We start from the raw sequence: 17944 nt of genomic DNA, 5'->3' as shown, positions 1-17944 counted from the left end.
TTTAGAAATGTTGTGAAGATAAAGGAAAAAAAAGAGGCACATAAACTCAAATTTACCATAATAATATTTAGTGCTTCCTCAGATTTTTGTAATCTGAGAAAAATTGACTAATTACTGATGAAGAAATTGGAAAACAAAAGGAAAAACAAAGTCTTTCGAATAGATGCATTGCTTCGTGTTAAGTAGTTTTACCCATATTTTCAAGAAAAATATCACGTGGGCTTATTTGCCTTCTCTTAGTTTTTAAAAAATGCCTATGTTGAGGTGTCTGCTAACCATTGTGGCTTCTCTTAACATCTTCTCCCTTCTTCCCTCTTCTCCTTCAGTATCTTTTTGCCACATACGTTGCTCCTTCTGCCACTCTTGACATTGGACTCCAACAGGAAAAGAAAAAAGAAATTTATATGAAAATACAGCCACCATTTGAAGACCTTTTTGACACAGCAGAGGAATATATCCTTCTCCTCCTTCTTGAGCCATGGACAAAGATGGTAAAATCGGACCAAATTGCTTATAAAAAGGTACCGTGCCACCGATAAATTGAGTGTGAAACCATTCAGGTTTACTACAATACTGACGCCTGTTATCCCAGCACTTTGGGAGGCCGAGGCGGGTGGATCACCTGAGGTCAGGAGTTCAAGACCAGCCTAGCTAACGTGGTGAAAACCCATCTGTACTAAAAATACAAAAATTAGCCAGGCGTGGTGGTGGGCGCCTGTAATCCCAGCTACTTGGGAGTCTGAGGCAGGAGAATTGCTTGAACCTGGGAGGTAGAGGTTGCAGTGAGCCAAGATCGCACCATTGCACTCCAGCCTGGATGCCAAGAGCAAAACTCGGTCTAAAAAAAAAAAATTAAAAAATAAAAAATAAAATAAAAATAAAAATAAAAAATTGTTAGGTTTACTGCTGATGATAAGCAGCATTGTTAACTTGCAAGAGAAAAACTGAAAAAGGTCTCACGTGGCCCTAAGATTTAGAGTTAAGATTTGGGTAGCCTCAAAATTTGGGCAGGGAAAGTATTTACCCACTTGAATTTTTTTTTTTTTGAGTCAGAGTCTCGCTCTGTCACCCAGGCTGGAGTGCAGTGGCATCACTTGATTTTTTTTTTCTTTTTTTTTTGCCGGTTTTCTTATTGTTGTCTAACGAAAGACTTTATGTCATTTTTTGCTCTCCGTACAAGTATGTCAGAGTAGAGAAATCTGAGTTTTGGTTTCCTGTGAATAAGTAAATATGCCCTTCTTGCTAGTTTTCAGCAGTGGCCTGAATTTTGATTAACAGAAAAGCCTATTTCATTTTATGCTAGATGAGTTTCAGTTAATATTACACCTATGGAAAACATAAACGTTTCATATGTATTGTGGAAAGCAGATCCTCTGACTTTGGTACTTCTATTTTAAAGTACCCCCAGATGTTCATCAGGTCAGACTGCTTGACTGGATACAAGTTTCAGCATGTCTTTTGTCATCCTGAAAGAGGTCATTTTAAGCCTCAATGCTTGAATATTTTCCCTATTTTATTAACGGGTGGAGGCAATTTATTTAAATATTTACTTTGAATCACAAATTAAAACCATCTATGTATACGTTTATATTAAGTTAATGCATGTACTGTGTACCTGAGGTCATTTCAGGCGGAACTCTGCTGCCTTTGCATTGTTATTCTTTGTTCACATCTCCTCAACAACTTCTTAGATCGTCATACAAAATTAATACCAAAACACCTTGGATAGAGTTACCTTATTGGATCGTGACTGAAACAACTATTATGATTTACTAAGTTCAATGACCAAAATAATTAGATTTCTCTTTGTCCTGAAAAATTAGCCTAGTATCCTTTTTATTATAAAAATGCATTTATTACAGTAGGGAAATTTGGATATCAGATGAAGTTTTAAAAAATTCTCTCCAGTCATTATTTTAAATATAGTGTATGCCGTAGAGGGTGCAATGGTTTTAAAAAAAAAAAGATTTGGAATTATAACTAACTTCCCTAAACCAAAAAGTTTCGGCATTAGTCATGATTCTTATAAAATGGATGAAACAAATTGTACAGTTTTTAGTAGGAGGAAAAATAAATCTCTCTTAGTTCCAGAAACTTCCTTCTGGAAGTATGAGGACTTATCTAAAAGATCAGCTGACTGTATTCTGTAGACTCTTTCCCAAAAAGAATAACCCAGCAGACTATCAAAGCTAGCTATTAAATAAAGAAAGTTCTCAGGCAGCTCTTCAGCCAAGCTGATTTTCCCCTGCAATAGAGAAATAGAAAATGGTCTTGTTCTCCTGACTATATGAAGTAGTACATTACAAACTCTGAAGACAGAGACCTGCTATGAGGTTTTATTTGATGATTGATGGTCTCCTCTCTTACTACAGCATTAAAGCCTTTGCTCACATACTAATAACAACATGGAGTCTGGTCATTTCTTGTTCTGTGAATTATTTGGTTCCTAAAGCTAGTGGCATCTGCTTTCATGACTATTATCAAGTTATATTGAATAGAAGCTGGAAATGTGACTAATATATTTGCATTGTTTGTAAGTTTACATTCCTCCAGAAAGGAGGAATGATCTTTGGTGGCACTATATCATTACATAGAAATGTATGCATTTTTTATTGCATCCTTTTGAAGTGTGACCCTGCTGTAGCTAATCTTTTAAACTATGTTATCTTCCTGCTTTTGCTTTGAAAATAATTTCCTTTATTGGCAACTGTATTTGTTTTTCAGCCCACTGTTACTAGCAAATTGTACATTCTCTTGATGTCACAAGCTTTATTTATTTTTTTTAGGTGGAGCTGGTGGAAGAAACTCGACAGTTAGACTCCACATACTTCAGAAAGCTACAGGCTTTGCATAAAGAGACATTTTCCAAGAAAGCTGAGGTAAGGCAACTTTCTACTTAGAAAAACAAACTTTTTATCCTGGAGAGGGTTACCACTTTATGTATGGGGCAGGGGGAGATTGTAGAGTGACGAGATCATATAGGCAGTTTCATTTTTCTGCTGTTCCTTTGCCTAGCATGCTGCATTTGACAGGTGTTACATTTTATTGACATATTTGACAAGAGAGCCAGAAAAACAAAGCAGATGAGGTATTTGGTAGGGAGCCAGGCCACTCATTTGCCTTAGCTAAGACCAGACATTGGAGCCTTCAACTGTGTTATATTCCTCTGAATGTTATCAGTTATTTTCTATATGGCAGCTGCTCTTTCTATTTGTTGTCAGGTTACAAAACAGTTAAATTAAATTTTCTAAACAGAAAAGAAACTGTTGCGTGACAGCGATAGGGAAAACAATGAAGAAAAAGTATGGGAAGGAATTGAGGAAGACGGTAAAAAGATCATAGGATTGATTAGGATATTAAAGTGTTATTTTGATTCATAAAGTTGAATCTTTTGGATTGGCTAAGTAAACATAATAAATCCTTAAAGCCATAAAATTAAATTTGTGCATCTACATAAAAATGACAGTTAATTGACCTGGAAAGTGTTTAAGATATATTAAAATTTTTGGAACAGAAAAACTGGTATGGTATGATCGATCCTGTTTATGTAAAATTATATATGTATTTCTGCATGTATCCATAAGTATAAAAAGAAATATCTGAAAAGACACTCACCAAAATATTAAAGATAGTTAACTCTGAGTGGTAAGGTTTCAGGTGATTTTTTTTTAAACTTTCTTCTTTGTACATATCTGAAATTTTTATTCTTATCCAGAAGTTCTCTATTTGATACACTACTACTAGCTTGCAAAGGATACATAAAAATCCATAAAGGTAGCAAGATATAAGGTTGTATTGTAAACTCTATGAACTAAACTTTATAATACTATCCACAATCCTTCTACATAAGGAAATTAATTTTTAAAACATTGGTAGCTTATCTCATGGATCCTTTACAAAAACAAATAGGGAGATGAATTAGTTATGTAAGGAATTATATAAGGAAGGGCCTTACAAAGAATAAGACTCTTTTCCCCTTTGCCCTTTCGTGCTTGTAAACTGTTCACAAAACATCAGAGGTCATAAAATTACCTAAAAATTAACTTTTATATGAAGGCGATTATATTTATATTATATTTTAATATTATATTTGAAGGATGTATTATTAGATTAGTAGCTTGTATTACTCTATAACTTTTAAAAATTATGTTATAAAAGAATATCTTATGTTTATGATACATTGTTAAGAAAAAGAACCAGATCACAAAACTATAAATAGGTGCATAATCCTATCTTTATATTTTGAAACTACATCAGACATTGTAAATCTCTTCATGAATTCAATCTGCTGAACTATGCAACCATCATAGTATCTAATCTTCACTTTTTATTTTTGTTTTTATTTTTAATTTTTATTTTTATACTTTTCTTCATTTTTTATAAACTACACATATATAAGTAAGACTGGAAGGATATATTAAAAAATGTTAATGGTGGTTATCTTTGAATGGTAGTATTATGTATGATTTTTATTTTCTTATTACAAAAGACATTTTACTTCTATACTTAGAAAAATATATCAAAGTTAATAATTTACAAGCAAGTGCTTTGTATAGTAAATATTTACTAAACATTTATGAAAAGAAGGGAATGGAATGAAAATAAACAGAACAGAATTTGATATGTTAGAATCTGAATCAGATTCTTTACCAGATTCTAAAGTCTTTACCCACTCTGCCATTGAATTATTAAATGGCTTTGGCCTAATGGTTGATTTTTCTTTCAGTTTCTCTACTTAAAATTGTAAACAATCTGTTGTGTTTAAGAGATTTTTGCTGAAAAGTACTATTTCACTAGGACACCACTTGTGAAATTGGAACTGGCATTTTATCACTCTCTAACGTCTCTAAACGAACAGAATATTGGGATAATGTTCCTGCAGAATACAAGCATTTTAAGTTTAGTGATCTGCTTAACAACAAACTGGAGTTTGAACATTTCCGTCAGTTTCTTGAGACTCATTCTTCAAGGTGAGGGACATAACCATATATTTCTCACTGAAAACATTTTTCTAAGCTACTATTTTTGATTCAACATATTATAAAAGTGATTTGGTGCTATAACAGATTTTACTCATGTCAATAAAAACTGACAAACATGATTATCTGAAATCTGTATGGGTAACTTTTTAAAGATGGAGTACATTTTGATTGTATCAACCTCCATATTGTTCTTTTAAGTGGTTACATATGTTGATACTTTCAGCATTGGCTAAGTTAAAATACCAGTGTGCTTTATTTTTTCTCTTTTCTACTGTTTCTTTCTTTTATATTTCTCTAGACTGGTATTTTAATTACTGTTTCTGGAATGTGTCCTTTTTATATTTCATTGAGATATTGAAATTATATTTTATAATTTTTATTAACAGATTTATAAACGAAACATTGTAGTTTTACCCAGAATCTTGGAACCTTATAACATATTTATCTAATATAAACTGAAGTATTCAATATATTTTTTTCCTATTAATATTCTCCCTAGTTAACAGAAACTGGTAAGATCTGGGAGCCAAATTTCACTGTATATGGTTTCCCTTCATTGTAATGAGGATTTTTCTATCTTTTTATTTTTTATTTATTAATTTTTTTAATTTTTGTGGCTACATAGTACATGTATATATTTATGGGGTACATGAGATGTTCTGATACAGGCATGTAGTGTGAAATAAGCACATCATGGAGAATGGGGTATCCATTCCCTCAAGCATTTATCCTTTGAGTTACAAACAATCCAGTTATACCTTAAGTTATTTTTAAATGTACAATTAAGTTATTATTGACTATAGTCATCCTATTGTGCTATCAAATAGTAGTTCTTACTCATTCTTTTTTTTTCTTTTTTGAGACAAGGTCTCACTCTGTCGCCCAGGCTGAAGTGGCATGATCCTAGCTCACTGCAGGCTCCGTCTCCTGGGTTCAAGTGATTCTCATGCCTCAGCCTCTGCAGCAGCTGGAATTACAGGCATGTGCCACCACGCCCAGCTAATTTTTCTATTTTTAGTAGAGATGGGATTTTGCCATGTTGGCCAGGCTGGTCTCAAACTCGTGACCTAAAGTGATCTGCCTGCCTGCCTTGGCCTCCCAAAGTACTGGGATTACAGGTATCAGCCATTGTGCCTGGCCCTTATTCAAGCTTTCTATTTTTTGGTACCCATCAAGATGAGGATTATTCTAAATTTGACCTTTTGTCGAATGACATGACATATGTGGAAATTTTCTCATTTTTGAAATTGATGAAATTAGTGAAAGAACTCTGAGATCCCACCAATAATGGTGACGGATTTTTTTTTCTGATCCCAAAATTCCTTTGTCATCATTCATATATTTAGCCAGGATTAGGAGTGTAATAGAGTCAAGTGAACTAGCCTAGAAAGGGATCAGAGATACAATATTGGGTTCGTTATTTCCATGATCTAATGCTACTAGTCAAGATAGCCACTTTCTAAGTTCTGTCAAAACAACAATCGGGTGTTTACTAGAATTTAGAGGAAGAAATATGAAGAGCTATACATTGTTTTTGTTTTCATTTTAGCATGGATCTTATGTGCTGGACAGACATTGAGCAGTTCCGGAGAATAACTTACAGAGATCGAAATCAAAGGAAGGCAAAATCTATATACATTAAAAACAAATACCTTAATAAAAAATATTTCTTTGGACCCAACAGTCCAGCTTCTCTGTATCAGCAGAACCAGGTATCAACATGCAAACCTATTTTTTTAATTGATGTTTGAAAACCGGTATTTTATTTCTATTTTTGCCAACAACCTGAAAGTCTCTTATTTTATTTTCTTTTGCTTATGACTAATGTGTTAAAGACCTTTGATATTTATTTAGGTATTTATGAGCATCTATAAATTAAATGTCTTTAATACTCAAACATTATATAGTATAAAAATGTGTTACTCTAAAAAGTAGTTTATAGAATAAAATAACTTTTATTCACCTACTCATTGACTCATTCAATAAATTTGAGTGCCTTCACTATGCCAGACTGTTCTAGGTGCTCAAGATAAAGTGGTGAAGAAGATGGACAAGCTCCCTGCACCTGTCAACATGTAGGAAAACAGCTGTTATCAACCATTAAGCTAAATCTCTACTACTTTTCTGTTCTTCTCTGAACTGATATTACTCTAAATATAATCAATCTTTGAAAATCCTCTTTACTATGGAACCTTGAGCAAATATTATAAAAGAAAGAAAAGAAAATCCTCCTTACAATTGTATTTTCCCCAGAAAATATTTTTATTGACCAGGACAGTTTGAACATTTTGTTGGACCAAAGTCCTATGGCCTTAATCACAATTTATTAATAACTAAATAACTACAGTGTCATTAGATTGACAGCAAGAATATAAGATTGGGCTGGGCGTGGTGGCTTACGCCTGTAATCCCAGCACTTTGGGAGGCCAAGACAGGTAGATTGTTTGAGGTCAGGAGTTCGAGACCAGCCTGGCCATGGTGAAATCCTGTCTCTACTAAAAATACAAAACTTAGCCAGGTGTGGTGGCACACACCTGTAATCCCAGCTACTCGGGAGGCTAAGGCAGGAGAATCCCTTAAACCCAGGAGGCAGAGGTTGCAGTGAGTGGAGATTGTGCCCCTGCACTCCAGCCTAGACAACAGAGTGAGTGAGACTGTGTCTCAAAAAAAAAAAAAATGTATATATATATATGTATATATATATATATATAAAAAATTGGGATTCAGCGGTAGGTTTGTGTTCATGTAACACTGCTCATGAAATATGATGCAATTTTTATACTTTTGAAATATAAATAATTATCATAATTTATTTAGCTTGAAGTTTGTTAATATTACATTCATACCTAAAGATGTAATGTATAGTTTATCATTTTTTTTTGTTTGGTAGTTTACAAGAATGCATGTTCTAATGGTATATATTAATAAAATACAAATTTCAGATTAATGCTAAATTCAGTAAATTAAAGAAAAACTCAGAGAGGTTCACAAGTAAGGCATACCAAATTTAAAAGCTAGATCTTTGGGGTGCAGGAGAAATTGGCAAAAGGCTTTGGGAGCGAGAGGGAGCAGGAATTCTGGAATTAAGCAACTTTGACAAAAATGCTTTGTCCTTAGTTCCCTGAGATACAAATCTGGGACACATTAGCAAAAGTGGTTGGGTGTCTCAATAAGCACAAGTATGAAATAAACACATGGAAAGCATTTGTTTTCTATTTGGCTTGTGCTACATTGCGTGAGGTTTCATGGTATCTCATGCTACTGTGTGAATCCTCCATAGTACACACAACATGCTGAGAATCTAAGTCAGTGAAAGTCACCCATTGCTATCATAGCAAATAGATGTGCTTACTACAGAGGATTTTCCCCAATGATCCTTCTTTGTCTTTGTCATCACTTTTAAAATGTATTTTATACTTAAGGATGTCTGCATCACATTGTTTTATAAAGATCGTGCTAGTCCAGATTTCAGTTGTGCAGCCAATTTGCTCTTTGATTAGCAAGGTAGTCTTTTTTTTTCTTTTTCTTTTTTGTTTTTATACAGAAAAATATTAGTGTTGATATTATTTAATGATATTATTAAAGGAGAACTAAGAAGAGGATTTCCTTTTTGTTTTTATATAAAACAATAGTATTAGTAGTGGTATTATATTAACATTATTGCTCAAAGGAGAACAAAGAAGAGGGCAGTTGTTCCACTGAGCAATCCAGAAATTTTGAGTGGTATGTACACAGAAACAGGTAGAAACAAGAATGAGTTATGGCAGGAAAAAGCTATTAGTAGCTTGTTGAAGCCAATCATTAAGCAGAAGGAAAATTTAGATCACAAAGAAGTTGTGTTTTACAAATGGTACTTATTATCTATAAAACATGACCTTTTTCTGTTTCCTGTTGCCTCTGTTTTCTGCTTAGAGGTTGTTGGAAAAGCCCTACATTGCTATCACTACAACTGCACTGTTCTGGGTGCATAGTGCACTACAGCTGCCATCATCCTATCTCCAACCCAACATTTGTTGGTAATATACGTATTTATAATATCTGAGTCAAGGTTGTCGTTTAATTAACACATTTTCCTCATCCACAGAAGAAAATTCTTAAGTGGATCAATATGACTAGAATCAGAGATTCATAGGATATTAGAAAACTAATAGACTAATGTCCTCATTTTTCAGTTGGAGATACTGAGTCCATGGAGGGAAAAAAATGCCATTGCTGTGGTCACACAGGATAAAAATCCCACTTCTGTGTTCTTTTTGATATATCATAAGTAAGCACAAATCATACATCTAAAACAACCAGCACATAAACCACAATTGTCTGTCTGATTTTAGGGGAATTATTGCTCAGTATAGCCAGGAGATGTTATACAGAAAATGAAAATTGGCACCCCTCAGGGTGCAGCAAATGGTTTTGTAGTGAATGAATGAATTAATGACTATTAGTGTTTCTTTTAGAAAGCACAATAGTTTCTGTTTCCATCTTAATTTTCTTAGGTAATGCATTTAAGTGGTGGCTGGGGGAAGATTCTTCATGAGCAGCTTGATGCACCTGTTCTAGTTGAAATCCAGAAGCATGTGCAAAATAGGCTAGAAAATGTATGGCTGCCATTGTTTCTTGCAAGTGAACAGTTTGCAGCACGTCAGAAGATAAAGGTATATAAATTAGTATAATCTTTTGATAGCAGTTGTCAGTACCTCTGAAAACTTCAAATGTACATACCTGGTGACCCAGCCATTGTCCTTTTTTTTTTTTTTTAAGGAATGGGCTCTCTCTGTCACCCAGTCTGAAGTGCAGTGGTGTGATCCTAGCTCACTGCAGCCTCGAACTCCTGTGCTCAAGCAATACTCCCACCTCAGCCTCCCAAGTAACTGAGACTACAGGCATGCACTACCATGCCCAGCTAATTGAAAAAAATTTTTTTGAAGAGATGGAGTCTTGCTATGTGCCCAGGCTGGTCTCAAACTCCTAGGCTCAAGCAGTCCTCCTGCCTTGGCCTCCCAAAGTGCTGGGATTACAGGTGTGAGACGCCATGCCAGGCCTTAGTCATTGTACTTCTGTTGAGAATGGTTTGAAGTATGGAGTCAGCCACGTGTGGTGGCATGCACCACAGCTGGAACACCAAGTAGTCCCAGCTACTTGGAAGGCTGAAGGAGGAGGATTGCTCGAGTCTAGGAGATCGAGGTTACAGTGAGCTATGATCACATCAGTGCACTCTAGCCTGGGTGACAGAGTGAAACCCTGTCTCTAAAATAATAATAATAATAATTTTTTTTTAAAAAAGCATGGAGTCAAAATTCCCAAGTTTTTGGTTTTTTGTTTATTTGAGAGTCAGGGGTCACCCTGTTGTCTCAGTGTCCAAACTGGAGTGCAGTGGCTATTCACAAGCACAATCATAGTGCACTACAGCTTTGAAACACTGGGGCTCAATCAATCTTCCTGCCTCAGCCTCTGAGTTGCTAGGACTATAGGAAAGTTCCACAGTGCCCAGCTGTGACTGCCAAGTTTTAATCTCAACACTGCCACATATTAGTTGTACCACCTTTAAGTTTCATAAATTGTTTCCTCATTTGAAAAATTGAGTTGGTCATAGTAATTACTTAGTAAGGTTGTTCTGAAAAATGAAGTGAAATTAACATGTGCTTGTTTCTTAGAATGGTGCCTGGCACATGGCAAACACTCAAATGTTATCTATTAATATAGTTGTTATTTTTAATATTATTAAGTCCTCACACAAGTGGACAAGGTTATACAAGGATATTCATTGCAATATCAAATGGGAGAAGAATTAGATAAGTTATGATAATTCTGTACTATGGAAAAATATGCAGATTTCCTTAAAAAATGAGATTAAAAAATAAAAATGAGATTTCCACATGTACTATATGAAAGATGTCATTTATTGAACAAAACAAGCAGGATGCAGAACAATGTATAGAAGATAATCCCATTACATTTACTTACATCTCTGTCTATGCATATCTATCCATCCATCCATCCATCTGTTTATGTTTATGCTTATGGTAGAAAAACACCTAGAAAGATCTGCCTCCTGGGAATGGGTTTGGGGAGTGAGGATTTTTACTTTTTATTTTGTAAAGTGGGTTTGTCTTTGCTTTGCCTTGTTTTTATTTTATAAGAAGTATTTCTTTGATAATTTAAAATGTCATTAGCACACCTTGTTTTTAGGTTTCAGGCAAACCTGATCTTTATAAAAATAACACAGGGGTCAGAAAACATGCAGTTTTGGACTTTAGTATGCAAAGCCACATGCCATTAATACTAATCAGGAAGAACCTGAAAAGCTTCATTCTATATTCAGTTTCTCAAACACTTTGTGGCCTACTTATTTGGAAATATCCTTAGTCATTTGAGCTGAGCAACTTATGGAAAACACAATGCAGCTGGGAAGACAGAATTTATAGTATGAAGAAGAAGGATTGACTTTAGGAAAAATGTTTCTGGAAATAAGCTTTGGGAAAACTCAAATCTCCTCAATCTCTTTCTTCAGGCTAACTCCAATTCTCTATCCAAAGTCAAGTAAAAGGACATTTGGCTTGCTAATATTATTTACCACGTTTCCTCATTATGTTTATCACTGTAATTTTATTGCAATGCATAGTCATTTCTTGACTTAGCATTCTTTAGGTGGCCAGCAAAATAAACTGATTTTGGCAACCTTGAACCAAAGACAAAAGGAAGGGTGAGGATTGATTCTAAAGTGCTGCTGGGCCACCTCACACACTTAAGAGTTGACATCCAAGCTTTAGAAAAGATGTAGGCCAGGACAGCCCTAGGAACCCAGCAAGAATTCTCAGATCTTTCCTCCTGGCTCTATCAAAAAGACTTAGCCCCAGTGATTCTAGTCCTTATCTCTCTAGATCTGCTTCTGGATCTATCTGCTATGGACAGGGAGATAGAGTCAATAGCACAGGTTTGTTATGAGCGGTTCCCAAGAAAGGGGAAATGATATGAATAGGCAATAACCCCAAGAAATATCTACTGTATTTCCATGTTGAGTAACTTTTAGTACTCTTTTAAAATTAGTTGTGAAAGTATATGGCTAGAAAATAGCTAAAAAGTCTGAGAAGTCGTAATTGTCTTTCCAGCTTCAGTTCCCATGTGAGCTCAAGTGAAACTATCATCATTTGGGGCAATAACAATCGGGTAGTATTATCTCTATTTTACAGATGAGGTTAGAGTGTTCAGAAAAATTTGGTACCTGACCACAGGGCTTCCATTTTTAAGTTTGATCCTCTTTCTCCTAAACTTCACTATCTCTTGTCCAAGTTAACCTTTATCTCATTTTTTTAGCTACTTAATTAGTAAATGATTTCAAGCCTTTAGTCTGAATAACTGGGATAAAATAATTGGTTTTGCTTTCAGGTACAGATGAAAGACATAGCAGAAGAGCTCTTACTACAGAAGGCTGAAAAGAAAATCGGGGTCTGGAAGGCAAGTAATGTTTGTTATATTCTTCCTCTTGTAAGTTTTGCTCTGTCAAAGTATTGTTTTTCTTTCCCTTTCTTGTTCAAAAATCCTCACTGAGGACACACTGTTTTCTAAACTGACAACTGAGCACTGATACTGTTTTTAATTGATGAATGGAATTTGGAGGAAAATGTGACTCTATCAGAACTCTGTTCTTTTTTTATATACATACTTTAAGTTCTAGGGTACATGTGCACAACGTGTACGTTTGATACATAGGTATACATGTGCCATGTTGGTTTGCTGCACCCATCAACTCATCATTTACATTAGTTATTTCTCCTAATGTTACCCCTCCCCCAGCCCCCCACCCCCCAACAGGCCCCAGTGTGTGGTGTTCCCCGCCCTGTGTCCAAGTGATCCCGTTGTTCAATTCCTACCTATGAGTGATAACATGCAGTGTTTGGTTTTCTGTCCTTGTGATAGTTTGCTGAGAATGATGGTTTCCAGCTTCATCCATGTCCCTGCGAAGGACATGAACTCATCCTTTTTTATGGCTGCATAGTATTCCATGGTGTATATGTGCCACATTTTCTTAATCCAGTCTATCATTTATGGACATTTGGGTTAGTTCCAAGTCTTTGCTATTGTGAATAGTGCTGCAATAAACATACGTGTGCATGTGTCTTTATAGCAGCATGATTTATAATACTTTCGGTATATACCCAGTAATGGGATTGCTGAGTCAAATGGTAATTCTAGTTCTAGATCCTTGAGGAATCGCCACACTGTCTTCCACAATGGTTTAACCAATTTACACTCTCACCAACGGTGTAAAAGCATTCCTTTTTCTCCACATCCTCTCCAGCATCTGTTGTTTCCTGACTTTTTAATAATTGCCATTCCAGCTGGCGTGAGATGGTATCTCATTGTGGTTTTGATTTGCATTTCTCTGATGACCAGTGATGATGAGCATATTTTCATGTCTGTTGGCTGCATAGATGTCTTGTTTTGAGAAGTGTCTGCTCATATCCTTCGCCCACTTTTTGATGGGGTTGTTTTTTTCTTGTAAATTTGTTTGAGCTCTTCGTAGATTCTGGATATTAACCCTTTGTCAGATGGATAGATTGCAAAAATTTTCTCCCATTTTGTAGGTTGCCTGTTCACTCTGATGGTAGTTTCTTTTGCTGTGCAGAAACTCATTAGTTTAATTAGATCCCGTTTGTCTATTTTGGCTTTTGTTGCCATTGCTTTTGGTGTTTTAGTCATGAAGTCCTTGCCCATGCCTATGTCCTGAATGGTATTGCCTAGGTTTTCTTCTAGGGTTTTTATGGTTTTAGGTCTAACATTTAAGTCTTTAATCCATCTTGAATTAATTTTTGTATAAGGTGTAAGGAAGGGATTGAGTTTCAGCTTTCTACATATGGCTAGCCAGTTTTCCCAGCACCATTTATTAAATAGGGAATCGTTTCCCCATTTCTTGTTTTTGTCAGGTTTGTCAAAGATCAGATGGTTGTAGATGTGTGGTGTTATTTCTGAGGCCTCTGTTCTGTTCCATTGGTCTATATCTCTATTTTGGTACCAGTACCATGCTGTTTTGGTTACTATAGACTTGCAATGTAGTTTGAAGTCAGGTAGCGTGATGCCTCCAGCTTTGTTCTTTTTGCTTAGGATTGTCTTGGAAATGCAGGCTCTTTTTTGGTTCCGTATGCACTTTAAAGTAGTTTTTTTTCTAATTCTGTGAAGAAAGTCATTGGTAGCTTGATGGGGATGGCATTGAATCTATAAATTACTTTGGGCAGTATGGCCATTTTCACAATATTGATTCCTCCTATCCATGAGCATGGAAAGTTCTTCCATTTGTTTGTGTCCTCTTTTATTCGTTGAGCAGTGGTTTGTATTTCTCCTTGAAGAGGTCCTTCATATCCCTTGTCAGTTGGAGTCCTAGGTATTTTATTCTCTGTGTAGCAATTGTGAATGGGAATTCACTCACGATTTGGTGCTCTGTTTGTCTGTTAATATTGCATAGGAATGCTTGTGATTTTTGCAATTGATTTTGTGTCCTGAGACTTTGCTGAAGTTGCTTATCAGCTTAAGGAGATTTTGGGCTGAGATGACGGGGTTTTCTAAATATACAATCATGTCATCTGCAAACAGGGACAATTTGACTTCCTCTTTTCCTACTTGAATACCCTTTATTTCTTTCTCTTGCCTGATTGCCCTGGTCAGAACTTCCAACACTACATTGAATAGGAGTGGTGAGAGAGGGCATCCTTGTCTTGTGCCGATTTTCAAAGGGAATGCTTCCAGTTTTTGCCCATTCAGTATGATATTGGCTGTGGGTTTGTCATAAACAGCTCTTATTATTTTGAGATATGTTCCATCAATACCTAGTTTATTGAGAGTTTTTAGCATGAAGGGTTGCTGAATTTGTTGAAGGCCTTTTCTGCATCTATTGAGATAATCATCTGGTTTTTGTGATTGTTTCTGTTTATGTGATGGATTACATTTATTGATTTGCATTTGTTGAACCAGCCTTGCATCCCAGGGATGAAGCAGACTTGATCGTGGTGGATAAGCTTTTTGATGTGCTACTGGATTTGATTTGCCAGTATTTTGTTGAGGATTTTCGCATCGATGTTTGTCGGGGATATTGGTCTAAAATTCTCTTTTTTCGTTGTGTGTCTGCCAGGCTTTGGTATCAGGATGACGTTGGCCTCATAAAACGAGTTAGGAAGGATTCCCTCTTTTTCTATTGATTGGAATAGTTTCGGAAGGAATGGTACCAACTCCTCTTTGTACCTCTGGTAGAATTCGGCTGTGAATCCATCTTGTCCTGGACTTTTTTTGGTTGGTAGGCTATTAATTATTGCCTCAATTTCAGAGCCTGTTTTTGGTCTATTCAGAGATTCAACTTCTTCCTGGTTTAGTCTTGGGAGAGTGTATGTGTCCAGGAACTTATTCATTTCTTCTAGATTTCCTAGTTCATCTGCATAGAGTTGTTTATAGTATTCTCTCATGGTGGTTTGTATTTCTGTGGGATCAGTGATGATATCCACTTTATCATTTTTTATTTCATCTATTTGACTCTTCTCTCTTTTCTTTGTTAGTCTTGCTAGCAGTCTATCAATTTTGTTGATCTTTTCAACAAACTAGCTCCTGGATTCATTGATTTTTTTGAAGGGTTTTTTGTGTCTCTATCTCTTTCAGTTCTGCTCTGATCTTAGTTGTTTCTTGCCTTCTGCTAGCTTTTGAATTTGTTTGCTCTTGCTTCTCTAGTTCTTTTAATTGTGATGTTAGGGTGTCGATTTTAGATCTTTCCTGATTTCTCTTGTGGGCATTTAGTGCTATAAATTTCCCTCTACACACTGCTTTAAATGTGTCCCAGAGGTTCTGGTACATTGTGTCTTTGTTCTCATTGGTTTCAAAGATCATCTTTATTTCTGCCTTCATTTCGTTATTTACCCAGTAGTCATTCAGGAGCAAGTTGTTCAGTTTCCATGTAGTTGTGTGGTTTTGAGTGAGTTTCTTACTCCTGAGTTCTAATTTGATTGCACTGTGGTCCAAGAGACAGTTTGTTGTGATTTCTGTTCTTTCACATTTGCTGAGGAGTGCTTTACTTCCAATTATGTGGTTAATTTTAGAATAAATGTGATGTGGTGCTGAGAAGAATGTATATTCTGTTGATTTGGAGTGAAGAGTTCTGTAGATATCTATTAGGTCTGCTTGTTGCAGAGCTGAGTTCAGGTCTGGATATCCTTGTTAATTTTCTGTCTCATTGACCTCTCTAATATTCATAGCGGGGTGTTAAAGTCTCCCATTATTATTGTGTGGGAGTCTAAGTCTCTTCATAGGTCTCTAAGGACTTGCTTTATGAATCTGGGTGCTCCTGTATTGGGTGCATATATATTTAGGATAGTTAGCTCTTCTTGTTGAATTGATCCCTTTAGCATTATGTAACGGCCTTCTTTGTCTATTTTGATCTTTGTTGGTTTAAAGTCTGTTTTATCAGAGACTAGGATTGCAAACCCTGCTTTTTTTTGCTTTACATTTGCTTGATAGATCTTCATCCATCCCTTTATTTTTAACCTATGTGTGTCTTTGCATGTGAGATGGGTCTCCTGAATACAGCACACTGATGGGTCTTGACTCTTTATCCAATTTGCCAGTTTGTGTCTTTTAATTGCGGCATTTAGCCTGTTTACATTTAAGGTTAATATTGTTAGATATGAATTTGATCCTGTCATTATGATGGTCACTGGTTATTTTGCCTGTTAATTGATGCCAGTTTCTTCATAGCATTAATGGTCTTTACTTTTGGCATGTTTTTGTGCTGGCTGGTACTGGTTGTTTCTTTCCATGTTTAGTGCTCCCTTCAGGAGCTCTTGTCAGGCAGGCTTGGTGGTGACAAAATCTCTCAGCATTTGCTTGTCTGTAAAGGATTTTATTTCTCCTTCACTTATGAAGCTTAGTTTGGCTGGATATGAAATTCTGAGTTGAAAATTCTTTTCTCTGAGGATGTTGAATATTGGCCCCCACTCTTTTATGGCTTGTAGGGTTTCTGCCAAGAGATCTGCTGTTAGTCTGATGGGCCTCCCTTTGTGGGTAACTCGACATTTCTCTCTGGCTGCCCTTAACACTTTTTCCTTCATTTCAACTTTTGTGAATCTGACAATTATATCTTGGGGTTGCTCTTCTCGAGGAGTATCTTTCTGGTGTATTCTGTATTTCCTGAATTTGAATGTTGGCCTGCCTTACTGGGTTGGGGAAGTTCTCCTGGATAATATCCTGAAGAGTGTTTTCCAACTTGGTTCCATTCTCCCCATCACTTTCAGGTACACCAATCAAAAATGTAGATTTGGTCTTTTCACATAGTCCCATATTTCTTGGAGGCTTTGTTCGTTTCTTTTTACTCTTTTTTCTCTAACCTTGTCTTCTTGCTTTATTTCATTAATTTGATCTTTAATCACTGATACCCTTCTTCCATTTGATCGAATTGGCTATTGAAGCTTGTGCATGCGTCGCGAAGTTCTCGTGCCATGGTTTTCAGCTCCATCAGGTCATTTAAGATCTTCTCTACACTGTTTATTCTAGTTAGCCATTCATCTAATCTTTTTTCAAGGTTTTTAGCTTCCTTGCGATGGGTTCCAACATCCTCCTTTAGCTCAGAGAAATTTGTTATTACCAACCTTCTGAAGCCTACTTCTGTCAGCTTGTCAAAGTCATTGTCCATCCTGCTTTATTCCGTTGCTGGTGAGGAGCTGCGATCCTTTGGAGGAGAAGAGGTGCTGTGATTTTTAGAATTTTCAGCTTTTCTGCTCTGGTTTCTCCCCATCTTTGTGGTTTTATCTACCTTTGGTCTTTGATGTTGGTAACCTACAGATGGGGTTTTGGTGTAGATGACCTTTTTGTTGATGTTGATGCTGTTCCTTTCTGTTTGTTAGTTTTCCTTCTAACAGTCAGGTTCCTCAGCTGCAGGTCTGTTGGAGTTTGTTGGAGCTCCACTCCAGACCCTCTTTGCCTGGGTATCACCA

General features: G+C 36.0%; 1 protein-coding gene and 1 non-coding gene across 16 annotated transcripts in view; one reads left to right on the top strand and one right to left on the bottom strand.

Moving 5' to 3' along the window:
• RGS22 (regulator of G protein signaling 22) overlaps nt 1-17944 on the top strand; it is a 145114-nt gene that overhangs the window by 97154 nt on the left and 30016 nt on the right. For 9 of the 15 annotated variants that reach the window (NM_001286692.2, XM_047421681.1, XM_005250858.4 and 6 more), the window contains 6 exons: nt 327-521; nt 2787-2879; nt 4798-4970; nt 6532-6694; nt 9476-9634; nt 12366-12434. In NM_001286692.2, coding sequence (NP_001273621.1) covers nt 327-521; nt 2787-2879; nt 4798-4970; nt 6532-6694; nt 9476-9634; nt 12366-12434 — 852 coding nt within the window. Of the gene's footprint in view, nt 1-326; nt 522-2786; nt 2880-4726; nt 4971-6531; nt 6695-9475; nt 9635-12365; nt 12435-17944 lie in introns of those variants that run through there. The other 6 variants (XM_017013310.3, XM_017013309.3, XM_005250856.4 and 3 more) reach the window with 4 other exon arrangements.
• Nucleotides 4245-4314, bottom strand: SNORD77B (small nucleolar RNA, C/D box 77B). The gene has a single exon (NR_145741.1). It is a non-coding gene; the product is annotated as a small nucleolar RNA, C/D box 77B (small nucleolar RNA).

This window comes from Homo sapiens, chromosome 8, assembly GCF_000001405.40.
Source record: "Homo sapiens chromosome 8, GRCh38.p14 Primary Assembly".
Lineage (NCBI taxonomy): Eukaryota > Metazoa > Chordata > Mammalia > Primates > Hominidae > Homo > Homo sapiens.
The sequence above is the reverse complement of the archived record's forward strand: the minus strand, read 5'-3'. Positions and strand labels throughout refer to the sequence as shown.